The sequence below is a fragment of the Homo sapiens genome, chromosome 10, assembly GCF_000001405.40.
Source record: "Homo sapiens chromosome 10, GRCh38.p14 Primary Assembly".
NCBI lineage: Eukaryota > Metazoa > Chordata > Mammalia > Primates > Hominidae > Homo > Homo sapiens.
The window spans coordinates 511,588-531,671 of NC_000010.11; the positions used below are offsets into that span (position 1 = coordinate 511,588).

A 20,084-nucleotide genomic window follows, 5' to 3' on the forward strand; every position below is an offset into this window, starting at 1 on the left:
GCTTCCCTAGAGGAACGTGGTGGGAGGTGGATCCCGACACTGACCCAGCCTCCCCCCACAAGTCAGTCACCCCTCCACGGGGTTCACACCTCTCCAGGCCCTGTCACCTCAACAATGAAGGGTGGCGGCTCCGAGCTCTCTTCACAGGGAGCACCGAACAGGAGCTAGAGAGAGACACAGACACACCCACAACCGCTTAAAAATCCTGAAATGCAATACATATTTAAGGACTTCATTATTAGTTTTTCAAAACTGTAAGAACAAAGTGAGCCTGGCTTTAACCTGTGTGACACGATAACACCGTGTATATCTGTCCTTTACTGTCTGTTCCTTCTCCAGCTGCTGCTGCCTGGCTGGCCGACTGCGGGAGAAGAGCCTCTGGTACTCCCGGGAGGCCCTCGGTAAAAGCGTGAGCACCACAATCACCTCTCAGGACACCGCACACGTTAGGGTCGCCCACAGACGGCCGTTCCCAGTGCCTTCTTACAAAGGCATGAACGGGCCTCCTGCTCTTTGTAAATGTCAACCTTCCTAAGCAATGTCGTGTTGACAATTTTTAACTGCAGTCCACCTATACTTCTTTGTTTCTGTCTTGTTTTTATCCTAGAGGCATATTATTATGGAAAATTAAATTTGCAAGGTTGAAGCGTTTTTTAAAGTTGACTTCTAATCCTGGAAGGGAAAAAAATGGGCCAGATGTGGTGCTCACACCTGTAATCCCAGCAGTTTGGGAGGCTGAGGCAGGCAGATTGCTTGAGCCCAGGAGCTCAAGACCAGCCTGGGAAACATGGCAAAACCCTGTCTCTACTAAAAATAAAAAATAAAAATAAAAATAAAAAATTAGCTGGGCGTGGTGATATGTATCTAGTCCCAGCTACTCAGGGTGCTGAGGTGGGAGGATCACCTGAGAGGTGATCACCCAGGAGGTGAAGGCTGCAGTCAGCCAAGATTTGCGTTGCTGCACTCCAGCCTGGGCGACAGAGTGAGACCCCATCTCAAAAAACAAAAAGCAAAAACAACTGTATACATCATTATAGAAAGGAGCTGGCCGGGCAGTGGCTCACGCCTGGAATCCCAGCACTTTGGAAGGTCGGGGTGGGCAGATCACCTGAGGTCAGGAGTTTGAGACCAGCCTGGCCAATATGGCAAAACCCCATCTCTAATAAAAACACAAAAATTAGCCAGGCATGATGGTGGGTGCCTGTAATCCCAGCTACTAGGGAGGCTGAGGGAGGAGAATCACTTCAGCCTGGGAGGTGGAAGTTGCAGTGAGCCGAGATTGCGCCACTGTACTCCACTCCAGCCTGGGTGACAACAGCGAGACCCCACTTCAGGAAAAAAAAAAAAAAAAAAAAAAGGGAGCTAATGTTTTTCATTTAAGGGAAGGGAGAAGAACATTCAGTATTTATACATCTCACGCACACATCTGCAGTGGGGCCCTAAAGTATTCAAGATACACATTCCTACAAATATAGCTCAAAACTACTCACCAAGTTTCATGCTAAAAGCACATGCATTTTAAGAGTGCTACATTATATTTTTTAAGCATCTGTATCCAATATTTTAGCATACTGGCAGTTTTCCCTTCAGGTGCTGTATGCCTAAATTATTACATGTTTAGTCGTTCATGTTAGAATTTATGACTCGCTTTAGACAAAAGAAATAAACATAAGCTACTAAATTAATGACTTAGGGGAAAAGTTACTACAATAACTTAGAAGTCAAACTTTGCAAACTGAATTTGTTGGACCATGTAAGCCAGATGATCAGTTTTTAAAATTGTTTGTCGCGTGTTTCCCTCAAGGACGGAAGTCTCCCCTTTACTCTCATCCACTGCATGCTGCAGCCCGCACCTCTCATCCACCACAGCACACTGCGGCCCGCGCCTCTCCTCCACCGCGCCACACCACGGCCCGTGGCTCTCGTCCACCACAGCACACCGCAGCCCATGCTTCTTGTCCACCGTGCCACACCGCGGTCCACTGCGCCACACTGCAGCCTGCAATTCACCCTGTACCACGCCTTCCACACCTTACCTGAAAGTCACTAAGTATAACCAAGAAGGAAATGAAAAGTAGATAAATGACCTCCACCCCCACCCCATGTCCAGCCTGCACATGTTTAAACATTCATCAAAGTAAAACCAAAAACTCACGTTAGCTCACGATTGTAACTGGTAGAATCATGTGCATGGCAATTTTAAAAGTCTCATTAAGTAAAAACCTAATCGAACCTCTCAAGAAATACAAAGTTTATACAAAAAGACATCTGCAAACATCGACAGTGAGGAAAGGACTTCACTCACCATCCAGCCTGTCCTGGAAGCCACGGCCAAATGCCAGGTTGTATAGATCCAAAAAGCAGAAAAAACAGTGCTGAAATGTGTACAGTCTTGGCAATGTACAAATTCAGATGTAGGATGCTCAGAAACCTTGAATTTCCAATCAGAGAACAGGAACATGAGCAAGTTCCCCAGCAGTGCCCACCTTCTGCCTATAGCATGTGTAACAGGAATGCTGGCCACCTCGGGGGGACAGAGGCTTCCTGGTGCATTCGCCCTGCCAGCCGCACAGCTGGCCCCACCACAAACACCTGCTAATACTGAAGAACCACCCCCCTTCCTTGGGCTTTGCTCACTCTAGCCAGGAGAGCGTATTTACACAGTGCATTATCGACTCAGTTCTCGTTCAATACGTCAAGCTTGTTGAAGGCATGGCAACCCCACTCCTGGCCCAATTAAGTGAACTGAGCAGAACAAATGCCCCCAGTTCGACGGCACTCAGTCACAACAGCAACGGCCACCATTCACAGGGTGCTGGCTTCGTGCCGGGAACAGTTCCAGGCGTCTTCTTTGTCCGAGGAATTTACACTGCAACCCTGCAGGGCCGTTCGCAATGTTCACCAGAGGGTTCTGAGGCAGCCAAGTCCAGGCTGTCTGTGGGCCTCACCGCATGGCCGTCCGTGTCCCCCTGCAGACCAGACCTCACTCCAAGGACCGCGGGTTCCAGGGCTGCCTTGAGGCACATGCTCCCTTCGCCACCTCCTCCTGGCCCCTGACACCGACCCTCACCACTGCTGCCAACACCGTATTTCCTCATGGCTCCTGAGGGACCTGGTCTTTCTGCACGTCCCTGCTCCCTGCGTCCGGCTTGGAGGATGCCCGTATCAACGCCAACATTCACGTAATCACCACCCCCCTTCCATGGGGGGCTTTATGCCTAGGAGTCTCAATATCAGAATGTCGGATTCCTGTGCTTGGAGGATTTATTCCCACTGTGGAAGTGAAGGGGGTAAAATTCTAGGTGCCTGCAATAACCTCATTTCTGTAGCTAAGCAACTTCAGTAGTAGCAAAAAACAAGCTTTTTTTAACTTCTTTTATACAAGCTAAAAACAATTTTTACGTCCACGTTCTCATCAGCTCCCACCTGGTGAGCAGGCAGATAGTAATTTTCAGAAAAACAAATTGTTCCATAATTTTAACACTTAGTGTTATCACTATTAAGAATTATAAACGTTAATTACATAACTATCCAAAATGCCTCAGGGAAAAAAATGTCATCCAATTGGTTCTTTAAAGTGTTACAAATGCAGCTGAGTTTTAATAGTAACTTGTCCATAATTGTCAAAAGAATCTTTAAAAATCTTAATACTGAAAGAATAACCATAAATGGATATAAAATACAAAGCAGAAGAGTTAACATTTGAGGTAGATTGTGGCCTATATTTTTAACATATGCATAGTTATTTACCTAGCTGAAGTACATCCCTCTCCTCCTAGGCTCTTCCAAGCTGATTTTCAAACATAGACTGGCTTTTGGTTCATGAAGGCAGATTTAAAAGATGTCAGGATCGGGCCGGGTGCAGTGGCTCACACCTTTAATCCCAGCACTTTGGGAGGCCAAAGTGGGCCAATCACTTGAGGTAAGGAGTTCAAGACCAGCCTGGCCAATATGGCAAAACCCTGTCTCTACTAAAAATTTTTGTAATTAGCCAAGCGTGGTGGCATACACTAATAATCCCGCTACTCAAGAGGCTGAGGCAGGAAGAACTGCCTGAACCCGGGAGGCAGAGGTTGCGGTGAGCCAAGATCGCATCACTGCACTCCAGCCTGGGCAACAGAGTGAGACTGTCTCTCAAAAAAATAAAAATAAAAATAAGAAAGCCTTCAGAAAAAGCTATGAGCACCGCCCCCACCCAACCCAAGCAATCACACGGCAATGGTTATCACCTGATTTTCACACAATAGATAAAATTCTATTCTCGTCTCTAAACACTATGGTAAACACCTGCCATCAACCCACAGAAACTCCTGGGACCCAATAACACTGAACTAGCAAGATTAACAGGCCACACACGGAGAGTTTAGCTGCAGAAAGTGATGGCACTAAGAATATGTCTGTGCTCAAACCAGATTCCTTGCTTTCGGGGTGAAGGGGCTTCCCCAGGAAGATCTAGTCCAGTGGGATGGTTTCCACTTCCACGACGAGAGGAAACGAGGGGGTTTCCTGAAGCCACTGGCATGACTTGGGTCTCTGTACCTTTGTCCTCCATCCTGTTATGGGATGAGGGTGGGCTGAAGGCAGGTTCTCCCTACATCTTCCGGGCAGGAAAGATGGAGCTGACAAGCAGATGACAGCTTTTCCAAAATGTTCCCACGTTTATAACCTGTTGTTGACCTGCTTTCCCTGGAGATCAGTGAAGTGGCATCATTGATTCTCTTCCATTAGGGACAACCGGGCAGTATGGGAGGCGGGGGAGAGGAGGGGGGGGATGGGGAGGGGAAGGAGGGGATGGGGGGGAAGGGAGGGGATGGGGGGGAAGGGAGGGGATGGGGGGGAAGGGAGGGGAAAGGGGGGGAAGGGAGGGGAAAGGGGGGGAAGGGAGGGGAAAGGGGGGGAAGGGAGGGGAAAGGGGGGAAGGGAGGGGAAAGGGGGGGAAGGGAGGGGAAAGGGGGGGAAGGGAGGGGAAAGGGGGGAAGGGAGGGGAAAGGGGGGGAAGGGAGGGGAAAGGGGGGGAAGGGAGGGGAAAGGGGGGGAAGGGAGGGGAAAGGGGGGGAAGGGAGGGGAAAGGGGGGAAGGGAGGGGAAAGGGGGGGAAGGGAGGGGAAAGGGGGGGAAGGGAGGGGAAAGGGGGGGAAGGGAGGGGAAAGGGGGAGGGGGTGGGGGGGGACAGGGGGTAGGGTGGGGGGGGACAGGGGGTTGGGGGGGACGGGGTAGGGTGGGGGGGGGACAGGGGGTAGGGTGGGAGGGGGGACAGGGGGATGGGGGAGGGGGATGCGCAGGTGCCTGCTGTGCATGGAACCCAAGCCCCTCGCAGAGCTCAGGATGAACCCAGTTTCCAGGCCCGGGGCCATCATCAGCCAGGAGAGGCATCCGCGGCACTTCCCAGCAATGGCCACAGGAAGTACCAACTCAGGCCCATCAGGGGCTTCCTCACTGTGGGGGTTTTTAAAAGTAGAGCACAGAGGTTCAGGTCTAGTGGCACAGTCAAACGTTGACAGACTCCATGGAAACACGGACTTGGCCCCTCCATCCCACCAGCCTGCATGGCCGCCCCTCTCCGCTCCCATCATACACATCCCCATCCAGCCAAGCCCCTTCTCCTTTTCCCTTCTCCATTTCTCCACTGGATTCATCAAATCAAACCTTGCTGTCCTTGGCAAATGTACCATGAATTTACTTACTGCCCAGAACAAAAGCACACTTCCAGTTAACATGACACCCCCACTATGGTAGAACACAGCCCTAATTCAGACATTAGGTGAAGGAACAAGGGAGGGGAGTCGAGGGCAGTCCTGAGTCAGCAGCTGTTTTCTGGGGAAAGCCTCTGGCCCACCCAAGCCCGACGCTCCGCCCCACACTGTCCTGGTGTCTGAAAGCTCCATGAAGACAGGGTCACTCTGACCCCTTCACACCCACAACGCCGAAGAGGAGCAGGTGTTTGGGAAAAGCCTCCTGCTGGCGGTGAAGGCAAGAATAATTCCTCATGATACCCAGAATGTCAGAAGAAAAGAAGGCACCATATGGACGCCTTCCAAGTGAATTTTGGAATGATTCTACCGAATGCCATTCATCCTTTTTCAGAACAAAATCAATACCAGAAACGTGTCACCAGCAGAAAGATGGTCCCTTTGATTGACGGCTTACAAACACAAGTATGTTACACTGAATTTATCTCAAGCCACCCTCTCTGTGATAATATAAAAGGTCTCTTTATTAACAACCAGTAGCCTTTCTCATCTGGTGCTTTTTAACAAGAGGGTCCTGTAACCCTCAGGCATTGTCTAAACGTCAAATGGAAGCCTAGGATCCTCTTCTGTGCAGTTTCACCACAAAGTATTTTGACTTGAGCCAAATCATGCTATTCCTACACCTCCACAGGAAACTCAACGTTTCATCAAGGAAAGGCAGCATGATTTCTGCTAGGCAGTTTGGTGGGGTGGGCGTGGGGTTGAGGGAACATCACATGGAAAGCACACCCCGATATCACCAGCCTGACAGCCACACTGGCCAGCAAGTCCTGGTCAGCTCGGTCTCTGCACAGTCACAGGCATGAGGCCTGGAGGGCGGACACCCAGTGCTGCTGACCACCCCAAGGTCATGGCCTCTGCCTCTTCTCTGCTGACCCGTCAGTTCCAAGCTTCTGGCAACACCACCTGCTGCCCCTGCTGCCTGACTGACTCCTTCGTGAAAAGCGGCGTTGCCAGGATAGCTTATGAGTACAACTGCCAGGAAAGCAGCTCCGATTGATGCTGAAACCCTGCTCTTGCACCGCTGGCAGCTCCCCTGGCCCTGATGTGTACGCACTTGCAGCTCTGACCTTGCTCAGTGTCCACACAGGCTTTCCCCCAGAAACGCACAGGTTGAAATCCTCACCCCCAACGTGACAGTGTCAGGAGGTCTTTGGGAGGTGATGAGTTCCCGAAGCTGGAGCCCCATGAATGGGGTTTGTGCCTCAGAAAGGGGCCCAGCAACTCTCTTGCCCTCCCACTGTGTCAGGGCCAGAGAGAAGGCGTGTGCCAACCAGGAAGGGGCCCACACCAGAACCCACCCATGCTGCACCCTCATGCCACCTTCCACCCTCCAGAACTGTGAGAAACAAATTCCTGTTGTTTAGAGGCCAGTCAATGGTGTTTTGTTACAGCAGCCTTAGCTGCCTGAGACGACAATGCTCACCGTCCTACAGAGATGGCTACTCCCCTCTTCCAGAAAGAGGTTTAATTAAAATCCCTGTCTCTCCTCACCGCCACCACAGATCCCACCTCCAGCAGTTACTAGGATTAAAGGAAAAGGAGGATCATTTTAGACCAGCCCCTCGACGTCAGTCTGAAGCCTGTAACTTTGCCCACTTCCATGGTGGCCGTGTCAAACTCCCCATGCCAGCTCTGCATCTGCACTGGGTCCCAGGCTCTGCACAGACTCCTCCAGCTGTCCATCCAGCACACCCATTTCCCCTTCTGCTTTGCAGATTGTCCTTCAACATCCAACCCCCACCTGCAGCCCAAGGGCTTCCGATCCAGCCATTAGGGGTGAGCCCAGCTGTGCACTGGAGTCCTTGGCTCAGGTAACCCAGGCCTAAGCCGCTGGCACCAACGATCTCCTGGCTGCAGGGTCTGCACAGCCACTAGCTGCCCCGGCCACACCAGGGCCCAGGAGGGAAGGCAGAGGAAGCTGTGAAGCTGCCAACAGCTGTAAGGGGACAGGGGAGCCCCTGGGATGAGGTGGATGCCATGGAAGGAAATTCAGAGAAAGACCCCCGGGGGCTGGATGGGTCATGCCCAAAGCCTGCACTGCTGAGTTTTCGAGGTTTCTGAACTCATTCAATCGCTGACCCACGCAGCACGTTTCCTGAGTGCTGACCCCGCGTGGTATTGGATATGGCAATAAGGCAGGACCCCCACCTCCCCTCCCCCACACATACATGGGACCTCCATCCTGGTGGGAAATCAGGACGTGCACAGGCCTGGGTCCCCCCAGCTGGCACCACGAGCCTGGGAAGAGGGCCGTTTCAGATGCACAGTGGGTGCAGCCTTGCCAAGGGGCCCAGCAGTCACCTACACTGCCACAGCCAGGCTGAGTCAGGATCAACCGCACAGAAACCTGACCCTCTCAAGGGCGCACCTGAGCTCATTAGGGACAGAAACCGTCTCCTGCTCATCGCTAACACTTTCTCTGCATGTCTAGTTACAAACGGACGACGCAGTCTTGAAGCACAGCTGTGACGTGGAGACAGATCCCAGGCCTCCCCCCTGCTCCTCTACTTGTTGCCATTGAGGGGGAGGGGCCAGTATGGCCACAAGGCTGCACACCCACAGCCACCCAGCCACTGAGACGTGGGCCTTTGATGGCTGCTTCTCCCAAAGAACCCTTCTCCGTCTTGGAGCACACCATGGCGGGCAGGAAGCTCCACTCGGAGTAACAGCGATGGTTCTCCCCAGAGCCAACGGAGGCCCCCACCCTGCATTCAGCAGTTTACTTACATTCTGGAAAACATCTGAATTAATGGGTAACACTAAAATGAACAGGTCATGCAAGGAAGTTTAGAAGGTCGTGTGAAGTCTCAGCAGGCCCAAAGGTTTCCGAGAACCAAGGCGGCTGGGGTCGACATGCTTACAGGCAAAGTTTCCACACGGGCCTTCAACAAGCAGCGCTCAGCAGGGAGGGCCGCGCTCTGGGCAGAACCTCAGAACCAGAACATCAGACGCCACAAAGTCACATCAGAGCCGACAGCAACTGAAATACAGCACTTTCCGAAGACGTGTGCGTTACCTGCAGAAAGTTACTAGACATTAATTTAAGATGGGGGAAGAAAAGGATAAAGTTAGAAATAAATTTAAAGTAATTTCTGCATACAAAAAAAATTCTATATCCACTGGCTTTCTGGGAGTAACAACTTTTACATGAGATGCACATCCCAGTTGGAAGGAGTTTGGGTTTTCCGTGGGCAGAGACAGGGCTCTCCAGGAAACATGAACCCTTTCTCACTCACTGAGCCACGTGCCCTGGGGCCGTCCTGACCTGTCTGAGCAGCTCCCTGCTCTGCCTGCAGCTCCTTCCGCACTCCCCCGCTGCTCCCAGAGCCTGCACTGGCCCAGGATCTCGTCTTCTGCTGCTGTCAACCATCTGCTGCCAAAGTTTCACTTTAGGGCAAATAAGTTGGAAACCAAAAAATTCTAAGACCCCTTGGGCTTTTTAACAATTTGTCTTCTCAGAAAAAGAACACTAATTCTACTTCCATGGTTTAATATGTTGCCTCCATCTGCATGTTCATGGATATGTGTTTTTATATATGTTTTAATCAATACTTTTAAAGTCATACACTGTTGGCTACATTCAGTTTAATTACATTTGACGTTAAGTTTTAAATTCAGTGAATTCAGGCACTCAAAATTTAAGCCCTCTGACATCTATTAATCAAATGGAAATATGACAAGTAGGTATTACAAAAATCAAGAGAAGTATTTAATATAAATCCTGGACTTTTGGATATTTCCACAAATGTAATGTATACATTAGTAAACAAACGAGCATTTTCACAAATCTTTGAACTCAAATTCCATTTTTAACTTTTACAGGTAAATCAATATCCATATGTGATTTTAAGCAGATCAAGCATCAGCTCTTAAAAACAACCAGAAATGCTGCAGGCAAATCCCACCAAGCAGCAAACAAAGGAACAGCACCCAACAACTGAACACCTCCCCTGAGGCATCTGGAATGTGAGGATTACGAGCAGCCTGTGGATTCTGAGGTGCCTGAGTGGGGACTCCCGACTCCCCAAGTCTAAGAGAAGGCCTCAATGATAAGGAAAACTCGTCAAAAAATCATCCCTGGCCACATGCTCATCCCTGCCTGCCCCCAGGCACATGCTTACAAGTCTCGCTTCCTCTCTGCCCCCCAAAGCCTGACGTGTGGTCCCAGCCCTGCTGCTCACTGGGGTGAGACCATGAGCATCACTGCACCTGTAAGGGGAGAAGCCGGTCCAGATATAGGATCCTGGCTATCCTGGCAGTGCTCAAGCTCACTGATACTGTAATTAACTTTGTAGTGAGTTACTTAATGCAAAGGTTTAACTTTTGAATAATTTAGATTTGTGTATTCTAATGGGGAAATCCTGAATGTAGAACACAGGAGACACCCTCACACAGATTCTATCTGGCCAGCACTATTTTTTGTTTGCCTTTTCAATAGACTTTTTAAAAAGCGGTTTTCGGTTCATAGCAAAATCGGGAGGAAAGCACAGAGTCCTCACGTATCTCCTTCCCCAGCACATGCACAGCCTCCATCATTCCCCCACCCCCACCGGACCAGCATGTCTGTACAAATGACAGACCCGCATCAACACAGCACCACCACCCAGAGTCCATAGCTCACACGAGGTCTCAGCCTGCTGCTGCTCACTCTGTGGGTTTCACAGACGTGGAACAGCATGGATCCCCCATGACAGCCCCACACGGAGTTGCTTCCCCACCCTAAACAGCCCCTATGCTCCTCCCATTCACCCCTCCCCTCCCCAACCCCTGGCAGCTGCTGACGGTTTTACTGTCTCTGCAGTTGTGCCTTTTCCAGGCTGTCCTGTCGTTGGACTCAGACAGCAGGCAGCCTTCCCAGATTGGACTCTCACTTAGCAACATGCATTTAAGATCCTTCCATGTCTTTTCATGGATTAGTGGTCCAGTTCTTTTTAGTGTTGAATAATATCCCAGTTTCTGATGTACCACAGTTTATCCATTCACCTACTGAAGGGCATCTTGGTTGCTTTCAAGTTTTGGCAGTTATAAAAGCTGCTGTCAACATCTGTGTGCAGATTTCCGCATGGAAGTAAACTTCAGCTCCTGAGTAAATGTCCAGGACTGTGGTTGCTCCTGTGGTCGGAGTGCTTAGTTCCATGGGAAACCGCCTTCCACAGCAGCTGCCCCACTTTTCCCAGCCACAAGTGAGGGTCCTGATGCCCCACACGCCCACCAGCACGCGGCGGTGTCGCAGTTCCAGTTTTGGCCAGGCTGCTGGGTGCGCAGTGGCGCCTCGCCCTACGACATAAGACACGGACCATCTTTCCACATGTGGATTTGCCATCTGTGTCTCTTCTTTGTTGGGGTATCTGTCCAAGGTCTTTGGTCCATTTTTTCATCAGGTGGTTCATTTTCTTATTATTGGGTTTTGAGAGTTCCTTGCATGGTTTGGATAACAGCCTTTATCAGATGAGCCTTTTGTAGATACGTTCTCCCCGTCTGCGTGGCCCACAAGCTCGTTTCTACCTGACGCAAAGGACCCTGGAGTGAGGATACAGGGACTCTGCATGACCAACACGCTCGTTTCTACCTGAGCAAAGGACCCTGGAGTGAGGGAACTGTGTGTGACCAACACGTTCATTTCTACCTGACACTAAGGACGCTGGAGTGAGGATGCACGGACTCTGTGTGACACATACACTCATTTCTACCTGAGGAGTGAGGATGCAGGGACTCTACGTGACCCACGCGCTCATTTCCACCTGATGCAAAGGACCCTGGAGTGAGGATGCAGGGACTCTGTGTCACCCACACACTCGTTTCTACCTTACACAAATGACCCTGGAGTGAAGATGCAGGGACTCTGACCCACAAGCTCGTTTCCACCTGATGCAAAGGACCCTGGAGTAAGGATGCAGGGACTGTGTATGACCCACACACTCGTTTCCACCTGAGCAAAGGACCCTGGAGTGAGGATGCAGGGACTCTGTGTGACCCACACACTCGTTTCTACCGGATGCAAAGGACCCTGGAGTGACGATGCAGGGACTCTGTGTCACCCACACACTCGTTTCTACCGGATGCAAAGGACCCTGGAGTGAAGATGCAGGGGCTCTGTGTCACCCACACACTCGTTTCTACTGGATGCAAAGGACCCTGGAGTGAGGATGCAGGGACTCTGTGTCACCCACACACTCGTTTCTACCTGAGCAAAGGACCCTGGAGTGAGGATGCAGGGACTCTGCATGACCCACACGCTCGTTTCCACATGACACAAAGGACCCTGGAGTGAGGATGCAGGGACTCTGTGTGACCCGCACACTCGTTTCTACCGGATGCAAAGGACCCTGGAGTGACGATGCAGGGACTCTGTGTCACCCACACACTCGTTTCTACTGGATGCAAAGGACCCTGGAGTGAAGATGCAGGGACTCTGTGTGACCAACACGCCCGTTTCCACCTGACGCAAAGGACCCTGGAGCGAGGATGCAGGGACTGCTCTGAGTTACCAGCACACTTGTCGCTTTTACACATAAAGAACCCTGTGACTCTGTCCCAGGACCTTTTAGCCTAGACCTAAAAATTCGCAGCCCAGGAAACCCAAAGCATTTTAGGAACCTGAGGGGTGGGCCAAGGGGATCTCAGAGTTTGATGCTGGCTGTGGGGTCAGCAAAGGGTGGCTGGGGCTTCCCATAAGCACTCCCAGGAGGCCGTGCAATGGCCCGAGGCTGGTTCCACCTCCCGCCCTCAGTTCTCACGCCCAGCCGTGACTGGAGCACCCCTTCAGGAAGGAGTCCCTGGCTCCAGGCCCTAACGTCCATGTCAAGGCCCCTAGTGGGGCAGCTTCTACCCCAGGGAGGCTGGAACTGGAGGCAGCCTGGAGCTCCAGGCAATCCTGGCAACCACCTGCTTCTTGAAGTGGCTGCAGAAAAACCCCTGCTTCCAAACCCTGGTACAGACTGTGTGAGGCCTGGAACGCGGGAGGCACACTTCACAGGGTCCCTGCTCAGATGCAAAAAGCAAGGCTAACAGCAGGAAAATTATTTAATTACCTTCATGGTCATCAAGTAAAATCAGTCACTCAGACCTATATGTGACTGGAAGTATACACATTATAGAAGTGTATATACATGTAAATATATACATGCTTATTTTCCTCTACTTTTATATACCTTACATATATATGTGTATATGTGCAAATGTATAAAACATGGACGATAAACCATAGTTGAGATTTCAAATCTCAAAGATCTCAGAAGCAAATTACTATCCTTAAATTCTATACAAAGACATAACATCTTACATTCTTGCAAACAAAACATTCTCTAAGTATTAGCGTTTTATTTTAAAAACAAAGAATGCATTGCACTCTCGCAATTTCTTATTTCAAATCACTTTCACTGAGAGATTCTATAACTTGCTACCTTGAATACTTCCAACAATAATAGCTCATTAGTTTAAGCATTAGGGAGTTCATTTTTAAATACCATCACTGATTAAGAAAAACTGCTCTACAGGACTTTCGCTATTTTAAAGCGTAATGATGTCCACCTCTCTATACTCAAGAACAGGAAGATGCCCGTGCAGATGTTTCCAAAGCAATTCAGAGGAGATGGTCTAGACACACAGTTTAAGACAATCACAATTTCAAAAAAAAAAAAAAAAGAATCACATTTTCAAGGTCAGAAGATCAAGACCAAATCCAGGATATTCTGAAGGGTTCAACTTACATTTAAATTATCTCATGTATTTGTAGTTTGGATGGAACATGACATCCTTAAAGACAACCAAATCTAAAATACAGAAAAGCATTCTTAAATGCATCACAGCCCTTAAAACCCACAGCATATCTCTTTTGTTTAAATGTACTTAATTTTATCACATTTTCATTTTATAATTTCAAAATTTCTAAAGCTCCTAACGCCTCAAACCGAGATAGAATTTGACTTCAGCAATTTCCAAGTCACAAGCAGGTTGTATGTCCACAGCTATTCGGAATGTGGTTTCTGATAGAAGCTTTTATGAACACACATGAAATCCCTCTGGATTGCAAAGGCTGAGACTCAGCGTATCTCAGAATGAAAATACATACATTTGTGATGGACAGCAGAACACAGTACAGATACTAATTAGTAAAACAACAGCAAAGTCTACGGCACTTCTCATACAGAACAAATACAAAGTGTTTGAGGAAAAGTCTTTCTAACTGTAAAAATTCGAGCTGATTGGAACAAAGAAGATTCTGAATATGATCTTGGCTGCTTTACAAGACTTCAGAATTTTCCTCATCTGCAAGTGAAAATGAACCTCCTGCTTGCCCACTGAGGACAGGGAGAGAACAGGGTAGGATAACAGGCCTTTGAATGCTTCGTAGGTGGAGAAAGGAAGACAGGCCAGCCCCGTACACCCATCAGCACACCCACACCAGCTGTGCAGGTGACTCAGCTAACCCTGCGATGGCCAGGCATCTCAATGAGACAGCCGGGCCTGAGTGACCTGCCAAGAGACATGATGGCCAAGCCTGGATGGAATCCCTGGAGGGTAGTCAACCCAGGGCCTCTCAGGTTTTGTCCCAGCAGGTCTGTGCCCAGGAATCTGCATTTCCAAGTAGCCCAGGTGAGCTGCTGCCCAGAGGCCCTCACCAGTCATGGCTCACACAGGCAGTGGAACCCCCGCACACCACCTCCTTCTGCAACGCCTGGCGTGGATTTTCCTTAATTGCCGATGCTGCGCTCCTCTGTGCCTACACTCACCATCGGTCCCAAGTTTACTGAACTTAGAATGAGAGAAGGGAATTACAAAGGAAAGCGTCCACCTGAAACAGGACCGACCGGGGCTCACATCAGCAGACACAGCAAATGCAGCACACCTGTGCACGGCTCACCACTCACAAAGCCCACAGCCGCGTGGTTTCCACTCTGAACGTCCAAGTGGCTGTGGGCAGGGAGATGCTGCACAGCTGTTTCTATGCTAAATACTTGAAGGTGTGAATTTTATTACATAAAATTTAGAAAAATGTGTGTTTAGCATATAAATGTGTGCATTTATTTATGTTAAATACATGAAAACATGTAATCCAGGTGTTTAGGTTCATACCACTGTAGAGACTAATTTCTATTCATACAGCTGCACAGCTGGGGCCCAGAACCAACACCCACCAGCTGTGTCACCGTATCCGCTGTTTTTCTGTCACACACCAGCCCTACCCCACCAAAAAAAAAAAAAAAAATCCGTGGCATTTAATAAAAAATTCTTTTATGTTAGTTTTACATTACTAGAGACGACCTTGTGGTCCTCTTTGAAGAGATGGCAGCACGTGAAGGATCTCAAATACACATATGTTCTGGGTCTCCTGATCTAAGGACTCGTCCACACTGGTGGCTTTAACTGCGCCTATGTGGAAACTTCCGGAAGGCATTTGTGTCATGTCTAAGAGCAAACTGGCATTCATGCCTCAGCACTGTGTGCCTCTTCTTTCCTCCGTCCCGCCAGCACCATCTTCTCCCAGGGAACTGGTGCCGTGCTCTGAGGCTCTGTCCTGCCAGTCCCCGGCAGAGTCCCTGGTGCCATCATGGATAACCAGCCCTCCGCCTGTCCAGGTGCATCAGGCAGCAAGCAACTCATCCAAGTCTGTTTAGAAACCACACACTTGCGACACCTATAGGCCTCAGTAGGTGGAGGCGGACAGGGTAAGGGCAGCCGTCCTGGGGGACAGCTGTCTGCAGTGAGCCACCACACATTCAGTGAGGCTGTCTGGCTCCTCACCTCTACCCAGCCTCCACCCATCGCATCTGGCCTGGATTCTCCGACGCCTGCACAGCCTTCACCCGGTTCATAACTCAGCTCACAAAGGCCCCGTACCGTGCGAAGTGCGGCAGTGGGTGCATCTGCAGCTGTTTATCATCTCTGCATCTAGCTCCTCTCCCTCACAAAACAGCACCTCTGAAGTCATGGCCTGGCCTCCCGACCCTCCCCGCTTCTGGGCTTCTTGGCATGTTGTTCTGCTCCACACACCTCAGCAAATATTGCTGATTAGCTAAAATCACCCAGAAATGCCTTAACCTTGACTTCAGCCGCTGCTTTTGTAATTTTTAATATTTGTACTTATGGTGTGATTTGGGGAACAACAAATTTTAAAATTAGAGCAAAAAGATGTGGTGTTTATTCCCTCATTTCTACTTGCAACCTTGAAAATTCAAGTAGCAGCAAGAGTTTGTTGAAAGTAACTTCCACCAAATGGAACCGATTACAAATGTACTACAGAGTGTCAAATAACCAGAGATGTAAATACAGATGCAGACACAGATATAAAATCCAGTGGTTACACCAGATTGAGAAATGCTTGCCAGTTTGTAGGACTTCTAAAACTTGACATAAATGTTGGCTAAGGGATACAAGATGTTATGAGATGAGTGAGATGGTTGGCCTAGAACCACAGGCTCTCTCCTCTGTACAACAGAAAATCCATAAGAAAGTCAAATGTGAAAGAACCAGGTACCGCTGAATGGCATAATCAGCCATCCTTCCCGTCCCTGGGCCAGCTGCGGTGAGTGCAGCCAGTTGTTCACCAACATCCATCGTCCATCCTCCAGGCCACGGCTACACTTTACTCCCAGCTCCACGTAATTATGTAGATTAGGTAAATGATGGCCACTCTCACCCTAAGCCTCCCCCGCCAGCATGGCAATCACCCAGCCCCAACCACAGCAAGGACAGTCGTGTCCTTGGGAATGTAGGGCAGGTGTCTGGAAGGAACCTGGATCCCTGAATACCTCATGGAGCAGTCACCAGCCTGGAACATCCCCCCTGAAGGGTTTGCGAGAGAGAAAACCTCCTTGGTTCCTCAAGCTACAATACTGCAGAGTCCCTGGTCACAGCATCCTTACCTACCCTAGTCAGGAGCCATTCATGCCTTTCACCAAGACATAAAAACAAAAACGCAGTGGCACCGTCACGCACACCCAGAACATAGACTGCCTGCTGCCCACCCAGAATGCAGACCGCCCACAGCTCCCCCAGAAAGCAGACCGCCCGCTGCCCACCCAGAACGCAGACCGCCCGCAGCTCCCCCAGAACGCAGACCGCCCACTGCTCCCCCAGAACGCAGACCGCCCGCTGCTCCCCCAGAACGCAGACCACTTGCTACTCACATTCATCTTATTAACACCAAAAAGCCATAGTGGTGGATATCCCGGATGTGGACACTTAGTGGCTTTTTGCTGGAGATGCGCTTTGTGCACTTATCACACAACCATCTTGGACTCAGGAGGCGCTGTGCAGATGGCAGCTGTGCACGTCACAGTGAGTCTCACTCGCTGGACTCTCTGCCGACTCCCAGCATCAGCACCTGTAGGGTCCTCTCCTCCGGGAGCACGTGCTTGGATACCACAGTATCCTGTGGATCCATACAACGGTGCAGTGTGCCCCAGGAGCTTGCAAAGTACCACTGCATCAGTGCTTCCACAGGTGAGGCCGGGGGCAGAAGCCAACCTCAAGCAGTTACCATCCTCCGTGGGGCTGGCGTCCAGGCAGGAAGGCGACTCAGCAGCTCTCCTCTCACTGTGGAACTTCCTAGGTCCCCACATGAACAGAACCTAAATAACACGCAAGAAACAACAGGAACGAGAACACTACCAGCAGCTTCTGAGATGGGCAAGCTGAGCTGATCATGAGACACCTGACGGGGATGGTGCCAGAACCCCTCCCAGTGACCTGTGAGGACGGCGCTGCCGGCATCTCCCTAGAACCTGCCCAAGTCGAGTTAGACTCGAGGCTCCCAGGAGTGGGGCAGATCCGTTCAATCCCACAATCTGAACATTCTTCTAGGCCATCTCATGGCCCCCATCTCATAGATGGGAACTGGGACACTGCACCATAGACCCGGTCTTCCTCTATACCACACACCAGTACAGTGAGCACTTATGGACTGGGTATTCACGTAAAATACTGCTTAACTAAAACTTCTGATTTAGAAAATGTTTAATTCCTACTCACAGAGCTGAAAGTGCTCTGTCCTAGAAGGCAGCGGCTGTAATTAAGCTTGAGAGAGGAAGAAGGGATCAGAGTGGTGCCAAGTATTTAAATATTCAACTAAATCTATTCACCACGTTGCCATGCTCCTGTCACCTGCTTCGTTTTCCGTCCTTAAAAGACACAAAAGTTAGTTCTCAAAATAGACAACCTATTTTACTGTTGCTTAGCCATAAAGTAGTGAGCTATGTATCCAAAAGGGAGATATGGGAAAACAGAAAAGACAGGAGACAGATCCTAAACACCGTAAAACAGAAAACATCCACAAACGATCAGGGTGGGAGGGCAGCTGCAGCAGCACCTGGCTCCGTTGCATCTTTGTGAGCCAGCCACATGGGCTGGATAGCTCACTTAGCCACTGAAATTACATCATCTAAGATTTTTGTTGCAGTTACTTTGATAAATTCTCCCCTCCTGCTATGGAAAGGTTTAGCTTGCTTTTATTTTTTTAGGTGGAGTCTCACTCTGTCACCCAGGCCGGAGTGCAGTATTGCGATCATGGCTCATCGCGGCCTTGACTTTCTGGCTCAAGCAATCCTCCTGCCTCAGCCTCCCAAAGAAGCTGGGACCAACAGGCAAGTTTCATTTCTTTGCTAACAAATTCCTAATTCGCCACCACGTGGCGGGCCCATCAGGCCATCTGCCTGGACGTCCACCTTGCCGACCGGCTGTGTGGTCTCTAAGGTGGATGCACTCCGGTTGCCCGAGCTCTGCACACGATGCCGAGTCTCCACGCCTGCCGCCGTCTAAGTGACTGACAGCCCGGAGCATCCCGGACATGCCACCGTGAGCCGGGCTTTATTCCACAGGGCGACTTTGCTTCCCGTGAGGAGATGCAGCACGTGAGCACAGATCAAAGGGTGTCAGCAACTAACACATTTCCCAGATATTAAGCAGAGGACCAAGGGTTTTGTTCCTTATTTGCTATGGGCTTGATTCAAAACAGCTTTCTGGACTCCTGGGGACAAACATCTCTAACTGATGAGAATTCTGGCTTTATTAATGGAAGAATCACCTAATGCCCATTTTGTAACTGCTGTTCTTATCAGAACTTGAGGCCAAAGAAAGGGAAAAATAAAAGGGGGGCCAAGGTCGTGACACCCCAGTTTGTACAAGGCCAACCAGCCTGCTTGAGGGGGTGAGAGGAGTAGGGTTTTTAAACTGCTGACTTTTAAAAACATGGCTGTAGGCTGGTGCAGTGGCTCAAGCCTGTAAGCCCAGCACTTTGGGAGGCTGAGGTGGGAGGGTTGCTTGAGGCCAGGAGTTCAAGATTAGCCTGGGCAATACAGCAAGACCCTATCTCTTAAAAAAAAAAAAAAAAAAAAAGACTGTTACTAACATAGTAATGAAAAGGTTGATTAATACAATAAATTACTATGTCAACATGGCACCCCCTGCTGTCAGACGAGATGGACTCTCTGTGGCTACAATGAGGCCCAGAGAGAAATGCAAGCGGCATCACAGGGAGGAAGGTTGGCCCCAAAGCCCCACGGCACTAACTCCTGTACAGTTTGTTAACCAGCATGAAGTCTCCTCCACAGTCAGACAGCAGCCTGGTTTAGAGGAACGCTGCCCACGGGACCTTGGCAGACTCCCGATGCCGGCCGACCAGACACCCCACCCTGGGACCCTGCAGGCAGCCCCGACTGGACAGAAGGGCGTCGTGAGCATCCTTTCCCGCCAAAAGCTGCAGACCCTGAGCCAGTCTCGGCTGTTGACAGAGGCTGCACATAAACGTCTGCGCCCAACAGCTCATCTTTGGTCGTGACGCGCTGAGTCCACCTCATTTCAAATGTTACGCTCGCCCCAAGGTGAACACAGATGTTACAGGTTAACTCACTGCGTGTGTGCTGTGACTTTCCCCGTAAACATTCAGACATTCCACAATCCCGATGAGCACACACAGCGAACAAACCCCACTTTCCCTGTAAACGTTCAGACATTCCACGAACCTGATGAACACACACAGCGAACAAACTCCCGTGTGTTTAAATGCCGCGGTCTCCTCCCCTCCTGAGGGGCGTGTGCTTACAGTTCCCCCGAGACCACATTTCCCAAAGTAGACTGTTACTCTGAAAATAAAACCTTTTTCCTTCCTCTGTACATCTCATGGTCATGTTGTTAACAACTATTGCTACAAATGCAAAGAATCGAGGTATCATACGTGCCGTTCACCGAATTCCTAACACCAAAGGTTCAGGGCCCCCCAGTCTGACGGAAGCGTCTATCGCCCTAAAGCCAACTCTGGAGGTAAAGGCCGAGCTCGGGAAAGGCGGTGTCACCGGCAAACCCACACCATAGGGCCCTCTACAGTTGTGTGTAA

At 50.0% G+C, this 20,084-nt stretch overlaps 1 protein-coding gene across 7 annotated transcripts in view, besides 2 other annotated features; it reads right to left on the reverse strand.

Moving 5' to 3' along the window:
- The window catches only part of DIP2C (disco interacting protein 2 homolog C), a 415,468-nt gene that overhangs the window by 237,387 nt on the left and 157,997 nt on the right, over positions 1-20,084 (reverse strand). For 2 of the 7 annotated variants that reach the window (XM_011519431.3, XM_011519429.4), the window contains exons 1-2: positions 2,306-3,283; positions 1,854-2,036 (exon numbers count right to left, since the gene is read on the reverse strand). The exons of the other annotated variants lie outside the window; for them this stretch is intronic. In XM_011519431.3, the coding sequence (XP_011517733.1) occupies positions 1,854-1,950 (97 nt within the window). In that variant the 5' untranslated portion in view covers positions 1,951-2,036; positions 2,306-3,283. Of the gene's footprint in view, positions 1-1,853; positions 2,037-2,305; positions 3,284-20,084 lie in introns of those variants that run through there. 7 annotated transcript variants of the gene reach the window in all.
- Positions 2,928-3,428: an enhancer, noted in NCBI's record as "H3K4me1 hESC enhancer chr10:560455-560955 (GRCh37/hg19 assembly coordinates)". NCBI's record gives its function as "activates a minimal SCP1, AML or CMV promoter by ChIP-STARR-seq in naive H9 embryonic stem cells {active_cell/tissue: H9 hESC(naive)}" and the evidence as "EXISTENCE:reporter gene assay evidence [ECO:0000049][PMID:30033119]".
- Positions 12,051-12,551: an enhancer, noted in NCBI's record as "H3K4me1 hESC enhancer chr10:569578-570078 (GRCh37/hg19 assembly coordinates)". NCBI's record gives its function as "activates a minimal SCP1, AML or CMV promoter by ChIP-STARR-seq in primed H9 embryonic stem cells {active_cell/tissue: H9 hESC(primed)}" and the evidence as "EXISTENCE:reporter gene assay evidence [ECO:0000049][PMID:30033119]".